General features: G+C 41.9%; 1 protein-coding gene across 1 annotated transcript in view, besides 1 other annotated feature; it reads left to right on the forward strand.

The window, feature by feature from the left end:
• Positions 1-18,140, forward strand: part of WDR37 (WD repeat domain 37) — a 75,988-nt gene that overhangs the window by 599 nt on the left and 57,249 nt on the right. The window contains exon 2 of the mRNA NM_014023.4: positions 15,133-15,310. Coding sequence (NP_054742.2) covers positions 15,173-15,310 — 138 coding nt within the window. The 5' untranslated portion in view covers positions 15,133-15,172. The remainder of the gene's footprint in view (positions 1-15,132; positions 15,311-18,140) is intronic.
• Positions 60-119: an enhancer, noted in NCBI's record as "active region_2899". NCBI's record gives its function as "activates an Ori minimal core promoter by ATAC-STARR-seq in GM12878 lymphoblastoid cells {active_cell/tissue: GM12878}" and the evidence as "EXISTENCE:reporter gene assay evidence [ECO:0000049][PMID:35858748]".

Below are 18,140 nucleotides of genomic sequence, written 5' to 3' on the forward strand. Positions count from 1 at the left end.
TTCCTACCTGTCAGGCGCCGAGTCGTTCCCCGGATGCCCCGAAGAGGAGTCGGGACACTGCAGGGCTCAAGGGGGTGCAGGGGCAGTCGGGGCATAGTGGCGGATGGGGTGCAGGTGGGCTTGGAATGCAGAGGGTCCGTGGTGGTGCAGGAGGGGTCGGGTCCCTGGAGGACCCGTGGCGGTGCAGGAAGGGCCGTGGTGCAGAAGGGTTCAGGGTGCAAGAGAAGTCGGGGCGCAGGAGTAGTCCGTGGCGGTGCCAGAGGGACCAGGGTGCGGGAGGGATGGGGGCCCGGGGCGGTGCAGAAGATGTCGGAGTCCAGGAAGAGTCGGGGCGCTGGAGGGGTTGGGGGCAGAAGGGTTCGGCCCGGGGTCTCTCCCCGCCCCCTTTGCTTCGGCCTGGGCATCCCGGGGAAGTGCGTCTCCAGGGAAGCACTTGGGAGGCCCTTCAGAGAGGAGAATGGCCTTTCTTCTCTCCAAAGAGTGGGGATGGTCGGCTTCAAGAAGGGTGGTGAGTGTGGAGTGACGGATGCTGAAGTGATTAACACAGCGCCATGATATTGTTCCCCTTTTGAAGACTTCCTTTTCCTTCCCTTCCCCCTGAAAGCAGCCACCGCTGGAGGGAAACATTTTAAGACAGCTGTTCACCGGAATAACACAAGAGCAACAATAATAATGTACTCATTTACTAAACCAAGTTGAATAAATACATTTTTCCAGGTTGTGAGTGAAAATAGCTTAAGGTCTGCCAGGTTTTTAGAGATTTTGTCATTTAACTTAAACGCTAAAACATTCGTCCCTTGAAGCGGATACCATTATAGAAAAGTGTTAATTGCTTGGAAGTTTCATTTATTGAAGTTCAAGTGTTTTTCTCTTAAATTCAGTATGTTGGCCTGTGAGTTACGGTCATAAAAGTATTGCAGGAATTATTTACCTCTGAATGAGAAAGCTCAAGATAGTTATATCTCCAGGAACTTTCTTCGTCTTCTGAACTTCCCCCAACCCCAGCAGACACACACACTGTTCTGGTTACTTTCCTGATCAAATTCGAGTCTTTCAAAATAGCTTTTGATATGTCCCAGGAGTTAAACACGGTATGTAAATATGAACTCACCAATGTGGAACAAATGGAGTGATCTGTTATCCCCTGGGTTTAGACGCTGCCTTTCTATTAATACTGCTCACAGGAGACAGAGTAGGGACTCGTGTGCACTGGCCACGTCTCAACAGCAGTGTGACCTTGGGCAAGGCCTTCCTAAGTCCCGACTCCCTGTCCTCTAACATGGTGTTCATATCAGCCTCATTTTCTTACTGGGAAGGTTACGTTATGTAATATATGCCAGCCATTTTTGCAAAGTGCTGTATACAGGAGATCTTGAGTGAGTGTGTTTCCCTCCTCCTCTTTTTGGGTAGCTATGTTAGGCTGTTCACTTTGGGCATTTGCCCTGAACTAAAATCCCTAAGTCCCTTTCCCCAAGGTGAAACTAAGATAGAGTTTTCATATTTATCCTGTCTTATTCTTTTCAGGGAAAAGATTTTACATCTGTTGAATTTCATCCTTGGTTTAAAGTTGTTCTTTTAACTACTGAGATCTTTTGAAAATCTTGATGGCTATTTATCTGATTAATGGTATTTCCTAATTGATTGTCATCCACAGAATTGATGGTGTATGTATTCCATGCCTTCATTTCGTCAATGACAAAACATTTTAAGCAGGTTAATACTGATGACAGATTTCTGAGGTTGCCTGTAGAGACCATTCTCTTCCTCGATATTGCTCAGAAGTTGAATTTGGTGTCTCAGCCCACTAGGAATTCGTCTAACAGTGTTATTACGATAAAATGTTACTACAAACTTGATTAAACTTCTGGTGGAAATTCCATCACATTTTATGCAATTTTCAATTTATTTCTCCAATTTATTTTTAATGCCACATGGACATTATATTCCTTAACCATTCTTTTGCATGTGATTAACATTTGTGAAATTAACCACTTAAGCAAGTGTTTTTGCTTTGATGAAAGAAAAATGTTTAAAATCCTACTGGATATGAAACTGAAAGTAATGTTTTGTGTTTTTTGTTTCAAATGAAAGTGTAAATTAAGAATTTGTTGGCAGGGCGTGGTGGCTCATGCCTGTAATCCCAGCACTTTGGGAAGCCGAGGTGGGCAGATCACCTGAGGTCAGCAGTCCAAGACCACCCTGGCCAACATGGTGAAGTCCCGTCTCTACTAAAAATACAAAAATCAGCTGGGCATGGTGGCGGGCACTTGTAGTCCCAGCTACTCAGGAGGCTGAAGCAGGAGAATCACTTGAACTCAGGAGGCAGAAGTTGCGGTTAGCCGAGATCACGCCACTGCCCTCCAGCCTGGGGAGACAGAGCGAGATTCTGTGTCAAAAAGAAAAGAATTTGTCGTATTGCTGTTTCAAGCTACTTTGGTTATGTTATCTGCCTTCCTCAAATTATACACACTTAGGAGAATGATAATTTCTATAGCTACAAATTAATTAATATTGGAAATATTGAAAAGAATCTGGCCAGGCGCAGTGGCTCATGCCTGTAATCCCAGCACTTTGGGAGGCTGGGTCAGGTGAATCATGAGGTCAGGAGTTCAAGACCAGCCTGGCCAGGATGGTGAAACCCCGTATCTACTGAAAATACAAAAAATTAGCCAGGCGTGGTGGTGGGTGCTTGTAACCCCAACTACTCAGGAGGCTGAGGCAGAGAATTGGTTGAACCCGGGAGGTGGAGGTTGCAGTGGGTCGAGATCGCGCCACTGCACTCCAACCTGGGCGACAGAGCGAGACTCTGTCTCAAAAAATATATATATAAAAGAATCTTTTGAGAAAGAGCAGAAAGCTAAGTGTTCATTGATGCTGTTTAATATTACAGCATTTCTGTCACGCAGGCTGGAGTGCAGCGGCATGATCTCAGCTCACCACTGCCTCCACCTCCCAGGGTGGAGCAATTCTCGTGCCTCAGCCTCCAGGGTAGATGGGAGGCGTGTACCATCACGCCCAGCTGATTTTTGTATTTTAGTAGAGACGGGACTTCACCATGTTGGCCAGGCTGGTCTTAAACTCCTGACCTCAGGTGATCCGCCTGCCTGGGCCTCCCAAAAGGCTGGGATTACGGGCATGAGCCATCATGCCTGGCCCAATATTACAGCATTTCTAAAGATGAGGAATTCAGCTTGCTAACACAGTGTGTTTATGGGTTTCATTAATTAGTCGAATGTTTGGCCAGTGCCTGCTGTGTGTAGAGCACTGTGCTGCATCACAGCTGTGTGCCTGTTGTTCTGACTGCTTACAAGCAGTGGGGTGTATTACGTACACGGCAACATATACTAAGGGCAGGTGAACTGGACAGACTAAATGAGTCAGGAGTTCAGAAGGAGCGTTTATTCTGTTAAATCCATGGTAGGATAAAGAGATTGAATTTTTAGAGGGGACTATTTATAGTTTCTTGAAAATAATGTTTTATTGAAAACCAGAAGGACATTTAATCTCCATAAGCCTTCTTTGTAATATGGTAATCTGTCCAATAATATTGGGTAAATGTGAATATTTTGAAGGAAAATAATTACGTTTTGGAATCTCAGGTTTCTCTTTGCTTGTATTTAGGTAAAACAGTGCATAGAGGTTAAAGAAGGTTATATTTGGAGTGAAGAAGTTTGTTTTTTCTCTTTACAGTTCTATAATCAGTTTATTAGTGTTTAGTCTGTTAAATACAATCGGGTGCCACATAACAAATGATGTTTTGGTCAACAACAGACCTCATGTAAGATGGTGGTCCCATAAGATTGTAATACTCTATTTTTACTGTACCTTTTCTATGTGTAGATATGTTTAGGTACACAAATAGATACCATTGTGTTACAGTTGTCTGCAGTATTCAGTACAGTAACATGCTGTGCAGGGTTGTAGGCTAGGAGCAGCAGGCTGGGCCATCTAGCCTAGGTGTGGAGTAGGCTGTGCACCTAGCTTTGTGTAAGTGTACTCTGCGATGTTCCCACAGTGACGAAATCACGTAACGATGCATCTCTCAGAACCTGTCCCCATCCTTAAGTGATGTATGACTGTGTTGAAAGGCTCTTAATTGGATTTGGGAACTCTGTCTCATAGGGATGTTATGAGGATTAGTGACTCTTTGTATTTATTGATCCATTTGAGCCTTACAGCAATTCTTTGTAGTAGCTCTTCAGCCTCTGGTAGATCTGCCAGTCCACCAACTTTCTTCCAGTATCTCTCCATTAATTCTTTCTGTTTTCACTTCCCTTCCTGTCTATTTTAGATTCCATGGTATACCATTTCAGTAGTTTTACAAACACCTGCCACTTCCTTGTCCCTCTTCCCATGATACCAACCTGAAAACCCCCTAAACTGGTGATTAAACATTTAAATAAGATTTATGCTACGCCGGTTGAGCATCCTAATCCAAAAATTCAAAATCCATAACATGACACAAGTGGAAATTTCCACACCTTACCTTGTGACAGACAGGTTGTAGTCAAAATGTGGGTGCGCAACATAGTTTATTCAGGATCCCCTAGGGCAAAATAAAATTACCTTCAGGAGGCCTGCTGTGGTGGCTCAGGCCAGTAATCCCAGCATTTTGGGAGGCCGAGCTGGGCAGACCACTTGAGGCCAGGAGTTCGAAACCACCTTGCCAACATGGTGAAACCCCGTCTCTCTTAAAAATACAAAAATTAGCTGGGCATGGTGTTGGGTGCCTGTAATTCCAGCTACTTGGGAGGCTGAGGCAGGAGAATTGCTGGAACCTGGGAGATGGAGGTTGCAGTGAACCGAGGTTAACACCACTGCACTCCAGCCTGGGCAACAGTGGAGACGTCATCTCAAAAAAAAAAAAAAATTACCTTCAGGCTACGTGCATGAGGTATACATGAAACATAAATGAACTTTGAGTTTAGCCTTGGGTCCCATCCCTAGGATATCTTACTATGTATATGCGGATATTCCAAAATCTGAAAGCATCTGAATTCTGAAACACTTCTGGTCTTGAGCTTTTTTTTTTTTGGGGGGGCCAAGGACTGAGTTTCCATGGAGGATGTGGTGTGAAAGGAAGGAAGTGGTGATAGGACCAATACAGACACTGGGAAAAAATGTGGAGGGTGTGAATACAGAGATGATAAGATTACTCCAGTATGAAAAAATCTGTATTTGGTGCCAAGTTCCAGGGAGGTGATTGTAGGAAATGCATACATTTGGTTGTAGTTGATCAGCAGAAAAAGATTGCCGGCGGTATTGACTATTTTGTGAAGTGGCGAAGAAAGCAAGCTAAACCAAAGAGAACACCATGCAACTTACGGAGAGGCTGGAATAGCCAGTGAGATAAAATCAGTGATCCAAAACTTATAATTTTGATGAGAAAGGAAAGGTGATATTGTAATCTCTGCATTTTTGGTAACGAACTTGTAGAATGTCTGGAATGCATCAGAATGTTTCTACAGATGAAGTTCTTAAGAGAGGGAAGGGAAACCCTTTGCTGGTTTTATTTGCTTCATTTAACTGAAGATAGAGTCTCCCTTTTTCTCTGAGGCCATATCAGGACAGCTTTCACAGGCTTTTGATGTGGTTTCTTTTTTTCCTTTACAAAACATACTCCATAAACTACAAAGTAACTGTTTTATGTTGTAAAGCAAGACTTACTTCTCCTTTAAAAATAGGCCTACACATATGCAATTTGAGAATAAAAGATGATTCTTGGCTTTCTGCTTGCGGAAAGATGGAGACTTATTTTTCCTTATTCCTCCCATGAAGTACATCTAAAAACACTGGACATATATAAAACAAATGTAAGAGTGGGCCGGGTGCAGTGGCTCACGCCTGTAATCCAAGCACTTTGGGAGGCTGAGGCGGGCAGATCACAAGGTCACAAGTTAGAGACCACTCTGGTCAATATGGTGAAACCTTGTCTCCGCTAAAAATACAATAATTAGCCAGATGTGCTGTTGGGCACCTGTAGTCCCAGCTACTTGGGAGGCTGAGGTAGGAGAATTGCTTGAACCCAGGAGGTGGAGGTTGCAGTGAGCCAAGATTGTGCCATTGCACTCCAGCCTGGGGAACAGAGCGACACTCTGTTAAAAAAAAAAAAAAAGAGACTGAAAGATGGAGAAAAGAAGGTAGACTTCCTTCGTACATTGGGACCACAGAAATGACACCAAACTTAGTTCTGTGAGTTTTCTTTTTGCCTCATGTATCTCATATGTTGTGCTGGATAAGCTAGCAGCGCAGGTATAAAAGGACTCAGACAAAACAAGGCCCAAGAAAAGCCTGCTCTCTGTGTCTGAAAGACCAGGAAAGGGGCAGCCTACAAATCACAGAACTTTTCGATGGTAAGTACTTTCCTCCAGCTAAATATCACAGGAAACCCTGCAGCACCACCCTCACCCTGCTAATCAGAGAACTTTTCGGCGGTAAGTACTTTCCTCCAGCTAAATATCACAGGAAACCCTGCAGCACCACCCTCACCCTGCTAATCAGAGGCTGAGCAGGTACTTCAGATTCCCACTCATGACAAGCTGGGATGAGATGCTCCTCTCTGCAGGGTTGCTGTCAGAGAAGACTGGCTGAGGAGTTGGGGTTTTACTTCTGCTGGGTGGTGACAGAGCACAGCCTCCTTTCTGCTAGGGTATCATAAGAGGGACCTTGCAAAACTCAGGAACTTTACTGCTGCCCTGTGGTCATGAGGCCACCCCCCTGTGGTGTGGGGGAGACTGTATAGGGAGCAGCACGGAGGCAGCCCTGATTCAGCCTTGGTGGTGGGAGTGGAAGTTCGGCAGGAGGCTGAACTTTCCTTCTCATGCAGGGGTCCGTGGAGGCTGAGTGGGAATCTCAACTTCCACCTCACCGTCCACATCCACCTGGCAGAGGCCTGCTCTAACAGAAGACTTACATCAGATCCTGAGTCTGATGTCAGGATTTCAATGGAAAATCACTCATAGGAAAATCTCAACCTCAGTAAGAAAAGACCACTGATGCCAACGTAGAGATGACACAGAGTTTAGAATTATTTGACAAGGACCTTAAAGCAGCGATTGTAGAAATGCTTCAATAACCAATTAACATTCGAGACAAACGACAAATAGCCTCAGGAAGAAAATACAGGATGTAAAAAAGAAACACAAAATTTCAAAAGTGAAAAATAGAATATGTGAAATAAATTCAGTGGATGGCTTAGCAGCAGAAAGGAGAGGACAGACAAAAGAAGCTGTCAATTTGAAGATAGAACAATAGAAGTTACCCAATCTGAACAGCAGAGAGAAAATAGACTGGAAAAAAGTGAGCAGAGCCTCAGGGGCCCGTGGGACTTTAACAGAAGATGCAACATCTGTCATCAGAGGTCTAGAAAGAGAGAAGGACGGGGTGGGGGGAAAACGTGTCTGAAGAAATCACTGCTGTATGTTTCCTAAACTTGGCAAGCCATACACCTTCAGACGTAAGAAGCAGCATAAACCCAGAGAAGATAAACACAAAGATGCTAAGACACATCCAGGCCAACTTCTGAAAACTGAAGACAGAAGCATAGTAAGAGAGATACCACTTGACCTGTAGTGGGAAACAATTTGAGTGACAATGGATCTTTTTTTTTTTTTTTTTTTTTTTTTTTTTTGAGATGGAATCTTGCTCTGTCACCCAGGCTGGAGTGCAGTGGTGTGATCTCAGCTCACTACAACCTCTGCCTCCCAGGTTCAAGCAGTTCTGCCCTAGCCTCCCAAGTAGCTGGGATTACAGGCATGCCACATCACGCCTGGCTAGTTTTGTATTTTTAGTAGAGACGGGGTTTCACCATGTTAGCCAGGCTGGTCTTGAACTCCTGACCTCAGGTGATCTGCCCGCCTCGGCCTCCCTCACGCTTGCTGGAATTACAGTCATGAGCCACTGTGCCTGGCCTGACAGTGGATCTTATCAGAAATTGTGGAGGGCATAAGGAAGTGGCAGGACATTTTTTTCAGGTGCTGAAGGAAAAGGACTATCAACTCAGAATTTTATATCAAGTGAAAACTTCCTTCACATGATTTATCTCCAGCTGACCTACTCTATGAAAATAACAAATAAAGGAAATTCTCCAAACAGAAAGGAAATGACAAAAGAAATGTGGGAACATCAGGAGGGAAGAACAAAGAATGGACAGCAAAAATATCGGTCAATTTAGTATTCGTTTATTTTCTAAATTGTGTTTGGAATTTGAAGCATAACCGTGGTGTGGTTCTCAGTGTATGTGTAGGAAATATTTGTGATTACGTTATAAATGGGGAAAGGTAAAGAAGCATAGAGGAAAGTAAGATTTGTATACTTTATGTGAACTGGTAAAATGTTGATAATCAGTAGACTACAATAAGCTGTAAATGTATAATGTAAAACCTAGAGCTACCACTAAAAAGTTATACAAAACAGGCAAACTCAGAAATACTGTAGGTAAATAAATATGAAATTATAAAAAATGTTTACCCCACGAGAAGGCAAAAAAGAGAATAGAGGGAGAGAGAATGAATGATACACCATGAACAAGTGCAGTTTATTTTGTGGCTACAAGGTTGGATCAATGTTTGAAAGTCATGAGTGTAATTGGTCCTGTCAGTAGGTAAAAAAAAAAAGCTACTAGGAAAAAAACATGATAGAATTCAGCACTCATTCGTGAAAGAAACTCAGAAAATGAATGATAGAGGGAAACGTTTTCAACTTGATAAACAGCACCTACAAAAAAATCTATAGCTGGCATCAAAGTTAATGGTGAAACACAATATTTTCACCCGAATATTCAGGGCAAAGCAAGGGTGTTTGCTGTCACTATAGTAATTTAAGATAGTACTGGAATTTCTAGCCAAATCAATAAGGTAGTAAAAGGAAATAGAAGGCTTACAAACCACAAAGGAAGAAATAAAACTGTCCTTTTTTTTTTTAGATGACTTAATAGTTGACATAGAAAATCCCAAGGAATCCACAAAAAATCTTGAACTTTAGGTTCAGCAAGAATGTACACGTTTAATACATAAAATCCAGTTGTATTTATACTAGCAATTAACGTGGAAACCAAAATAAAAGTACAGTATCATTTAAACTTACACAAAAAATAAAAAGAGAGATGTTAGTCTAAAATGGAGAAAAGATATGTAGGACTTTTTTTTTTTAGAAACGGAGTCTTGCTCTGTCACCCAGGTTGGAGTGCAGTGGCGCGATCTTGGCTCACTGCAACCTCCGCCTCCCGGGTTGATGCCATTCTCCTGCCTCAGCCTCCTGAGTATCTGGGACTACAGGTGCCTGCCACCACGCCCTGCTAATTTTTTGTATTTTTTAGTAGAGACGGGGTTTCACCGTGTTAGCTAGGATGGTCTCGAAGTCCTGACCTTGTGATCCGTCCACCTTGACCTCCCAAAGTGCTGGGATTATAGGCGTGAGCCACCTCGCCCAGCCCGATACTAGGACTAATGCAGAAAAAACCTTGACATGGAGGAAAGTAAGATCTAAATAAATACTGTATTCATAGATTAAAAGACTCAGCATAATAAATATACCATTTCTCCCCAGATTGATGTACAGATTTAACACAATTCCTATCAAGATCCCAGCAAGATTTTTGTAGATATGTAAAAGATTATTCAAAAATGTAAAAGGAAGGACAAAGGACTAGAATAGATAAAACAAAATGGAGAAAGATTTAATAGGAATCACTGTAACTGATTTTAAGACATACAGAACAATAATAGAAACTGCTTGTATTAGTCCATTTTCACGCTGCTGATAAAGACATACCTGAGATTGGGCAATTTACAAAGGAAAGAGGTTTATTGGACTTACAGTTCCACATGGCTGGGGAGGCCTCACAATCATGGCAGAAGGCAAAGAGGAGCGAGTCACATTCTGCGTGGATGGCGGCAGGCAGAGAGGGAGAGCTTGTGCAGGAAAACTCCCCCTTATAGAACCATCAGATCTTGTGAGACTTACTATCACGAGAACAGCACGGGAAAGACCTGCCCCTCCATGATTCAGTTACCTCCCACTGGGTCCCTCCCACAACACATTGGAATTCAAGATGAGATTTAGCTGGGGACATAGCCAAACCATATCACTGCCGTTGGTGGAAGGATAAATATGTAGATCGGTGGAACAGAATAGAGAACCAAGAAATAACCCCACACAAGTACAGTGAGTTGATTTTTTGACAAAAGTCCAAAGCAGTTCAATCTAGGATGGATCATCTTCAACAAATGAGGCTGGGATAATTGGATACACAGGTGAAAACAAACAACAAAAAAACCTTGACTTAAATTTTACACCTTATAAAAAGGTCAGTACCATATAGGTAATAAATTTAGATGTGAAACAGAAAACTATAAAAAATTCAGGAGAAACAGGAGAAAATGTTTGGCCCCTAGGGATTCATGAAAAGTTCTTGTCATGACTTTAAAAGTGTGATGCATAGAAAAAATTATCAACATTAAAGAAGTGTTGCTTCATGAAAAACTCTTAGAATGAAGAGCAACAGATTGGGAGAAATGATTTGCAGCTTAACCTATGTGACATATAATTCATACTATAGAGTATGTAAAGAACTCTTAAATCTCAACAGTAAAAAACCCGAATAATACTGTTAGAAAATGGGTGTGAAGAGACACCTCACTGAAGAGGATATGTGGATGACAAGCACATGAAAAGATAGTGTCACTAGCCATCAGGGAAATGCAAATTAAGATCACAGTGAGATATTACACACCTAACGGAACAGCTAAATAAAAAAGTAGTGACAAAGGGATGCCTGCACTTGCAGGTATACACAGCACTGTTCACAATAGCAAAGGTATGGAATCAACCTAAGTGCCTGTTGACGGATGACTAGATAAATAAAATGTGGTGCGCACACACACACACACTCTGCAATACCATTCAGCCATAAGAAGAATGAAATTATGCCATTCGCAGCAACATGGATGGAACCAGAGGCCATTATTTTAAGTGAAATAAGCCAGGCACAAAAAGTCATGTCTCATGTTCTCACATGTGGGAGCTAAAAAATGTGAACACATGGAGGTAAACAGTGGAAAAATAGATAGATAATAGAGACCGGGAAGGGTGTGAGTCGGGGGCGGAGGGAGGATGAGAAGAGAGTTAAAAGGTACAAACATGCAGTATGATAGAAGGAATACATTCAGTGTTTGACAGCAGAGTAGGGTGACTATCCTTAAGAAAGCAGTATCTTAGGCCGGGCGCGGTGGCTGACGCCTGTAATCCCAGCACTTTGGGAGGCTGAGGCGGGTGGATCATGAGGTCAGGAGATGGAGACCATCCTGGTTAACACTGTGAAACCCCGTCTCTACTAAAAATACAAAAAATTAGCCGGGCGTGGTGGCGGGCGCCTGAGGCAGGAGAATGGCGTGAACCCGGGAGGCGGAGGTTGCAGTGAGCCGAGATTGAGCCACTGCACTCCAGCCTGGGCGACAGCGAGACTCTGTCTCAAAAAAACAAAAAAACAAACAGTGTTTTACTGGGGTGGTGGACACCCTAAATAGCCTGTCTTGATGACTGTGTTGTATACCTGGCACAAAATTTCTCATGTATGACAAATTTTCATAAAAGAGTAATGACAATACCAAATGCTGGTGAGGATGTGGATAACTGAATCTCTCATGTGTTCCTGATGATAATGTAGAATGAAACAGCCACCCTGGAAAATACTGATAGTTTGACACTCTTAGAAAAAAACCACAAAAACTAAACATGATTAAACATAAGCAATTCTGTTTCCAGGTATACCCAAGAGAAATAAAAGTATACACATACAAGAAATTTGCACTTTAACCTTCATAATAACCTAAAATATGGAAACAACCAAATGTCTGTCAGTTGTATTTGGCAATAAAAGGGAATACATTACCACTATGCTACAACATAGATGGACTTTGAAATCGTTGTGCTAAGTGAAAGAAGCTGGTTGTCACAGACCAGAGCGTATGTTGTATGATTCCATTTTTATGAAATGGCCAGAACAGGCAGATTCATATGGAGAGAAAGTAAATTAGTGGTTGCCTAGGGCTAGCTGGGAAGTGGGTGGGAGAAATGAGGAGTGAGGGCAAATAGGTGTGGGGCTTCGTTTTGGGGTGATAAAAATGTACAGTTGATTGTGGTAATGATCGCACAACTTCCTGAGTATACTGAGAGCCATTGAATTGTGCACTTTAAATAGGTGTCTTACATGGTGTGTGAATCGTATATCAAGATTTTTTTTAAAGCTAAATATACATTTACCCTGTGACTGAGCAGCCTTATTCTTGGGCTGTTTATCCAAAAGAAATGAGAACTTAGGTTCACATAAAACCCTGTATATTATTGTTCATGGCAACTTTATTAGTAATAGTAAAAAAATTGGAAAGAATATATATATATATATATATTTTTTTTTTTTTTTTTTGCAGCAGGTGAATGGTTAAACAAATGGTTAAATGTCCATACTGTGGACACTAGCTAGTAATAAAAAGGAAAAAACTGTTGATACATGCAGAAAATTGGTTGGATCGTAACCATTAAATTGAGTGGAAAAAAGAATCTCAAAAAGGGTAACTGCTCTTTGATCATATTTACATAACAGTCTCAAAATGACAAAATTGTAGAGATGGTTACAGATTAATGGTTATCAGGAGTTGAGGGATGGTGCCAGGGAGTTGGGGTAACTAATGGGTAGTGTGGGTGATCTGTATGGTGAGTGGAGTGTTTTGTATCTTGAACATGTGGCACCTAAAGGAATTTATATATGTAACAGAATGACAACTATACACACATTATACTAATGTCAGTTTGTTGGTTTAGTGAAATTAACTAACAAATTAACAGATTGTACTGTAATGATGTAAGATGTAACCACTGGGGAAATATGGACCATCTTTGCAACTTCCTGTGAATCTGCAGTTATTTCAAAATACAAAGTTGAGGCCAGGCACAATAGCTCACATCTGTAATCCTAGCACTTTGGGAGGCTGAGGTGGGTGGATCACCTGAGGTCAGGAGTTCGAGACCAACCTGGTCAACGTGGCGAAACCCTGTCTCTAATAAAAATACAAAAATTAGCTGGGCATGGTGGTGCATGCCTATAGTCCCAGTTACTCTGGAGGCTGAGGCACGAGATTCTTGCTTGAACCTGGGGGATGGAGGTTGCAGTGAGCTGAGATCGTGCAACTCCACTCCAGCCTAGGAGACAGAGCAAGACTCTGTCTCAAAAAAAAAAAAAAAAAAATTGGGAACTTCATAACTCACATGACTGTTTTGGTTGAGAGTTACTAGAAGCTTGTGATTAAGTTAAAGCTTTTAAAAACTGTCCTAAATAATAGGCAAACTGTCTTCCAGTTTTCTAACATTTTTGGGTTATGCTTGGCTTTTAAAAAAGTTTTAATAACAAAATTTATATATGAGAGTTCTGCATAGTATGTAAGAAACAGGAAACAAAGCTAAACTGTATATACTCACATTCATATTTAGAAAGACATTTAGAAGAGATATTTAGAAAAATGCTACGACTTCCTTGAATTCTAAGGTTAAATATGTTGATTTCTACTGTTTTATTTATAATATTAAAAATAAATGAAGTGAATTTTTATAAGTGACAATATTTTCTCTTAGAAAAATATTTTCATCCTTGGTATTTAGGATTATAATTAGAATGCTTAATAAACTGAATAGGAAAGATCTTGTTTATGTTATTAATAACCTTTATGGAAGACACTCTAAATTTTTTGTGAATACATTTCATCTCTGTTAAGAATACTCTCTTCTATGTGTAGATAAACTTATTTTTCAAAACAGGCTGACTTGTTTAAAAAGAAGGGAACGCTAGTGATTTTAAAATATTGTAGAAAAGGAATCATTCTATAACAAAGTAAGGAGGTGTTAGGGCTATTGAGTAAGTGAGAGCCATTTGGAAGGAAAGGAGTAGCATTTCAGGGATGTGTGTCTGCACCTGGTAATGTCTAAGGAGTTGATAATGAAGAGGGCTGGGCACACCAGAAATAAGGTCTTGCCTTGAGGCTCAGGCTATTGCTGTTGCGTAAGTCACCATTGTAACTGTCTACTTGGAATTTAGATGTTTACGTAGTCCTTATGTGTATTTTAAAGGTTAGCGTATTTTTCCTTTACGCTGATATATTCACAGAACCATCCCCTGCTCTTGGGACTTGGGCCAGTCTTTTCTCTAAAAGAAGATGATGGAGGCATGTTGGCGTCTGGGAGGTCGTGGGCGTGTCCTGCTTTGCCTTTGACTGCATATGGGTCAGGCATTCTTTGACAGTGAGGTGCTGAGCTGGCCTGATGATAGGATTGTGTTCATGGGAGGAGGGATCAGTAATAGCAAAAAATCAGCAGGTAATGTTCAAAATAGCAAAATCTGTAGTTGAAGAAAGAAGATATGTGTGTAAATATATTACCTAAGATTGTAGTAAGTAACGTAGTGATATAATTGGGAGGAAGGATGGATAATAACAGGGAATGAGTAGAAAATGCCCAAAGTGGGTAAATCATAATATTTAAATTAGAGATTTGAATAACTTAATCACATGTGGTTAGTTTGAATTGAGATATGCTGTAAATATACACGCTGAATTTCAAAGAGGTAATCATAAAATATCCCATTGTTTTTTATGTTGACTATAAAATATTTTAAACGTATTGGGTTAAGTAAATCATTAAAAGTAATTTCATATGCTTTTATTTTTAAAAATGTGGACACTGGAAAATTTACATCCATGACTTGCATTATATTCCTATTGGACAGCATGAGTCTAGAATGTGTAGTCTAGAATATGCAATTAACATTGGTTCCCTCGGGGGAGTAGACTGTGCCTGGGGAATTCCGTTGGGTTAAGGGAGAGCAATTTTTTTTTTAAATTTTAAACCTCTTTTTTGCCATTTGATACTTAAGATGTTAATGAAATTTGATAAAGAAATTACTTCTTTAATAAAGGCTGTGGTCCCTACCTTAAAACATCTTAATTTGTCATATTCCAAATTATATAGTTAATGTTAACTATAGTAAGGAAGCTTGTAATTAGAAGTCATCATTATCTTCTTCACTGTTTTTCTTTTGTTTCAACTCGCTGTATCAGAAACACTGTTTTTTCTTGCTGTTTTTAGCTTATTGCAGGAGTGACCAGGACACTACCTCCTAGAAGTAATGCCCACAGAAAGCGCAAGTTGTTCGACTGCTCGCCAAACAAAACAGAAGCGCAAATCCCATAGCCTTTCTATACGAAGAACTAACAGCTCGGAGCAGGAGAGGACGGGACTGCCAAGAGACATGTTAGAAGGACAAGTAAGCTACGATTGATTAGGGCCTTATTGATTGATTGATTTTTGAGACAGAGTTTCGCTCGTTTCCCCGGCTGGAGTGCGATGGTGCGATCTCCGCTCACAACCTCCACCTCCTGGGTGGAAGTGATTCTCCTGCCTCAGCCTACTGAGTAGCTGGGATTAGAGGCATGTGCCACCATGCCCGGCTGATTTTGTATTTTTAGTAGAGACAGGGTTTCACCATGTTGGTCAGGCTCATCTCGAACTCCTAACCTCAGGTGATCCACCTGTCTCGCCCTCCCAAAGTGTTAGGATTACAGGCGTGAGCCACCGGCCCCGGGATCAAGGCCTTATTTTAAAGATGGTGATTGTGTCTGTGACGTTATAAAAGTAGCCAAATATATAAAGGTCTCCAAAGTAAAAAAAAAAGGGTTGGGTTACTAAGAAGAAAGATCACCCCTCCCAAATTCCCCCAAAATAAACTCATTAAAACTTCTATCAAATACAACAGCATACACAGATGGGTTAGCATATGTATACTAAGTAATAACAAATCAAAGTGGGTATGAGAGTTGGGATTAGTTTTATTCTTTGTACAGGCTTGCGGACAGTACAATTCTGGGTTTTCTGTCTCTAACAGTCTCAAGAAAAGAAGAGTATCATATCCTTTTAATGATCTCTTTCTGTTCTCTGAAGAGTTTTTGGAATCAGATCTTTTAGTGACTTTGCTTAGGTTTATCCTTGTCTCTGCCGCCATGAGTATGTCATTCTTGGATTAAAATGAACTAATTATTTTTGATAAAGATAAGTTTTGCTTATACTTTTTCTAGTTCATTTATAGCTGATGAAATTCTGTCAGAATTTTTAAAGAGTGTTGTGAAGTCTAGACGCAGTATATTTATATTAAAATAAGCTCTAGATATATCTAATATATGGTTATATATGTATATAACTATATGTAAACTTACAACCATTCCTTCACAATTAGAACAAATTCATCAGCCATAATGCTGTAGGAAGATAAAGCTTAAACCTGAGAAATTGGCTTCTGTGAATATTGGATTTTGTTAGGACCATGTGGGTAACTTTATGCCAGGACTTCGAGGCCGGGACCTCTACACTGAATACAGCAGTGTGAACCCAGAATCCGACATGACTGTTGCCACGAAGAGGATCTTTACCTCAAATTAGATGATTATGCATTGAATAAATAAACCAGTACCTGGTTCTAATTTCTATAAAAAGTGATTACATTTTAACTTAGTGTTCAAAAAAATTACAAAAATAGCTTTGGTATTCTTAGTGTATTACTTTGCTAGGACTCCCATAACATAATGCCACAGACTGGGTAGCTTAACAGACTGGGCAGCTTAAACAACAGACATTTATTTTCTCATGGTCCTTCCAGGCAGCTGGAAGTCCTAGATCAAGGTGTGAGCAGGGCTAGTTCCTCCTGAGGCCTCTGTCTGTGGCTCGCCGACACCATCTTCTCCCTGTGTCCTCACAGAGTTGTCCCTCTCTGCGTGTCTTGTCCTAGTCTCTTCTTACAAGGACCCCTGTCATACTGGAGGGCCTTCCTTTATGACCTCATTTTACTCTCACCACCTCTTTCAGGGCCCTGCTTCCAAACACAGTCGCATGCTGAGGTCCTGGGCCTGTGGACCCCGTTCAACACAGCACTTAGGAGACAGCAGAGCTATGCGGCAGGACTCCTGTGGTGGGGGCAGTGTCTGTATCTGTATCTGCTGTCTGATGTGGGAACCACCAGTCACGTGGCTGCTGAGCACTTGAAATGTAGCCAGTGTCCCGGGACATGAGATTTTAATTTTTAAAACTTTTAATTACATTGAAATTTACATAGTCAGATGTGGCAAGTGGCTACCCTATTGGACAGTGTGAGTAAGCAGTCCAAGATAGGTTTTCCTAATTTGTAGGTTCACGTACATTTCTAGCAGTGGAAACCCTGCAGCCTCCCCTGCTGGCATGTTCTAGAGTTGTCTCCTGCCTGGGGTGAAAGTGTTCTTTTCTGGGCCCTGAATGCCCATTCTCCTTTGTGACACAGCAGAGGCGGTGACTGCATCTCATGGTAACCCTCACGAAGGTAGCTCAGAGGTCTCCAAGCCGCACGGCCTCGTCCTCTGCTCCACCTTTGGCCTGTGTCTCCCACGCTCGCTCCCTAGACGGAGCTCATTTGTTCAATGAGCAGTGATTCGGAGTGGGACCGGTCAGCATGTTCTGTAAGTGGCCCCCGTGAGGTGCTCTGCCTTCCCCCTGCCCTGGGCGGGAGAGGTGAGTGGCCCCCGTGAGGTGCTCTGCCTTCCCCCTGCCGTGGGCGGGAGAGAGCTGTGGTGTCTGCCGCACGCGTTTGGCATGGTAGGTGTGAGGGGGGCGATCTCAGAACAGGGAGGTGTTGATTAACGTAGGAGTGGGCTCGTTCTAGACAGTGTAGAGTGACGCCCTTTCAGTTGTTGAGGAGCAGCAATATAGAAGAGAGGGCAGATGAGTCTGAGGGAGACATCGTGTTAGGTTTAACTTTATACATCTCAGATTTGCCAGTCTGAAGTAGTTTAGAAAGCCAGGTTCGCGCAGGCGCAGGAGGTCTGTCGTTGCCGAGAACTGCGACGTCCACGTGCACACAGTGCTGGCTGCGGCCTGAAGAGCTGGCTGCTTCCCGCACGTGCGTGCAGGTGCTTTCAGGTGTGTGTTGGTGTCGATGTGATGGAAGAAATTCATTTAAAAGCTTTGCTGAGTCACGGCAGTAGTGTCTTGAGTTTTCTCAAGTGGTACCAAAAGTTCAACAACTCGTTTGAGAGTCTGTGAAATTGAATGGCACAGAAAGGGAGAACTGATGG

Source organism: Homo sapiens, chromosome 10, assembly GCF_000001405.40.
Source record: "Homo sapiens chromosome 10, GRCh38.p14 Primary Assembly".
NCBI classification, from domain to species: Eukaryota; Metazoa; Chordata; class Mammalia; order Primates; family Hominidae; genus Homo; species Homo sapiens.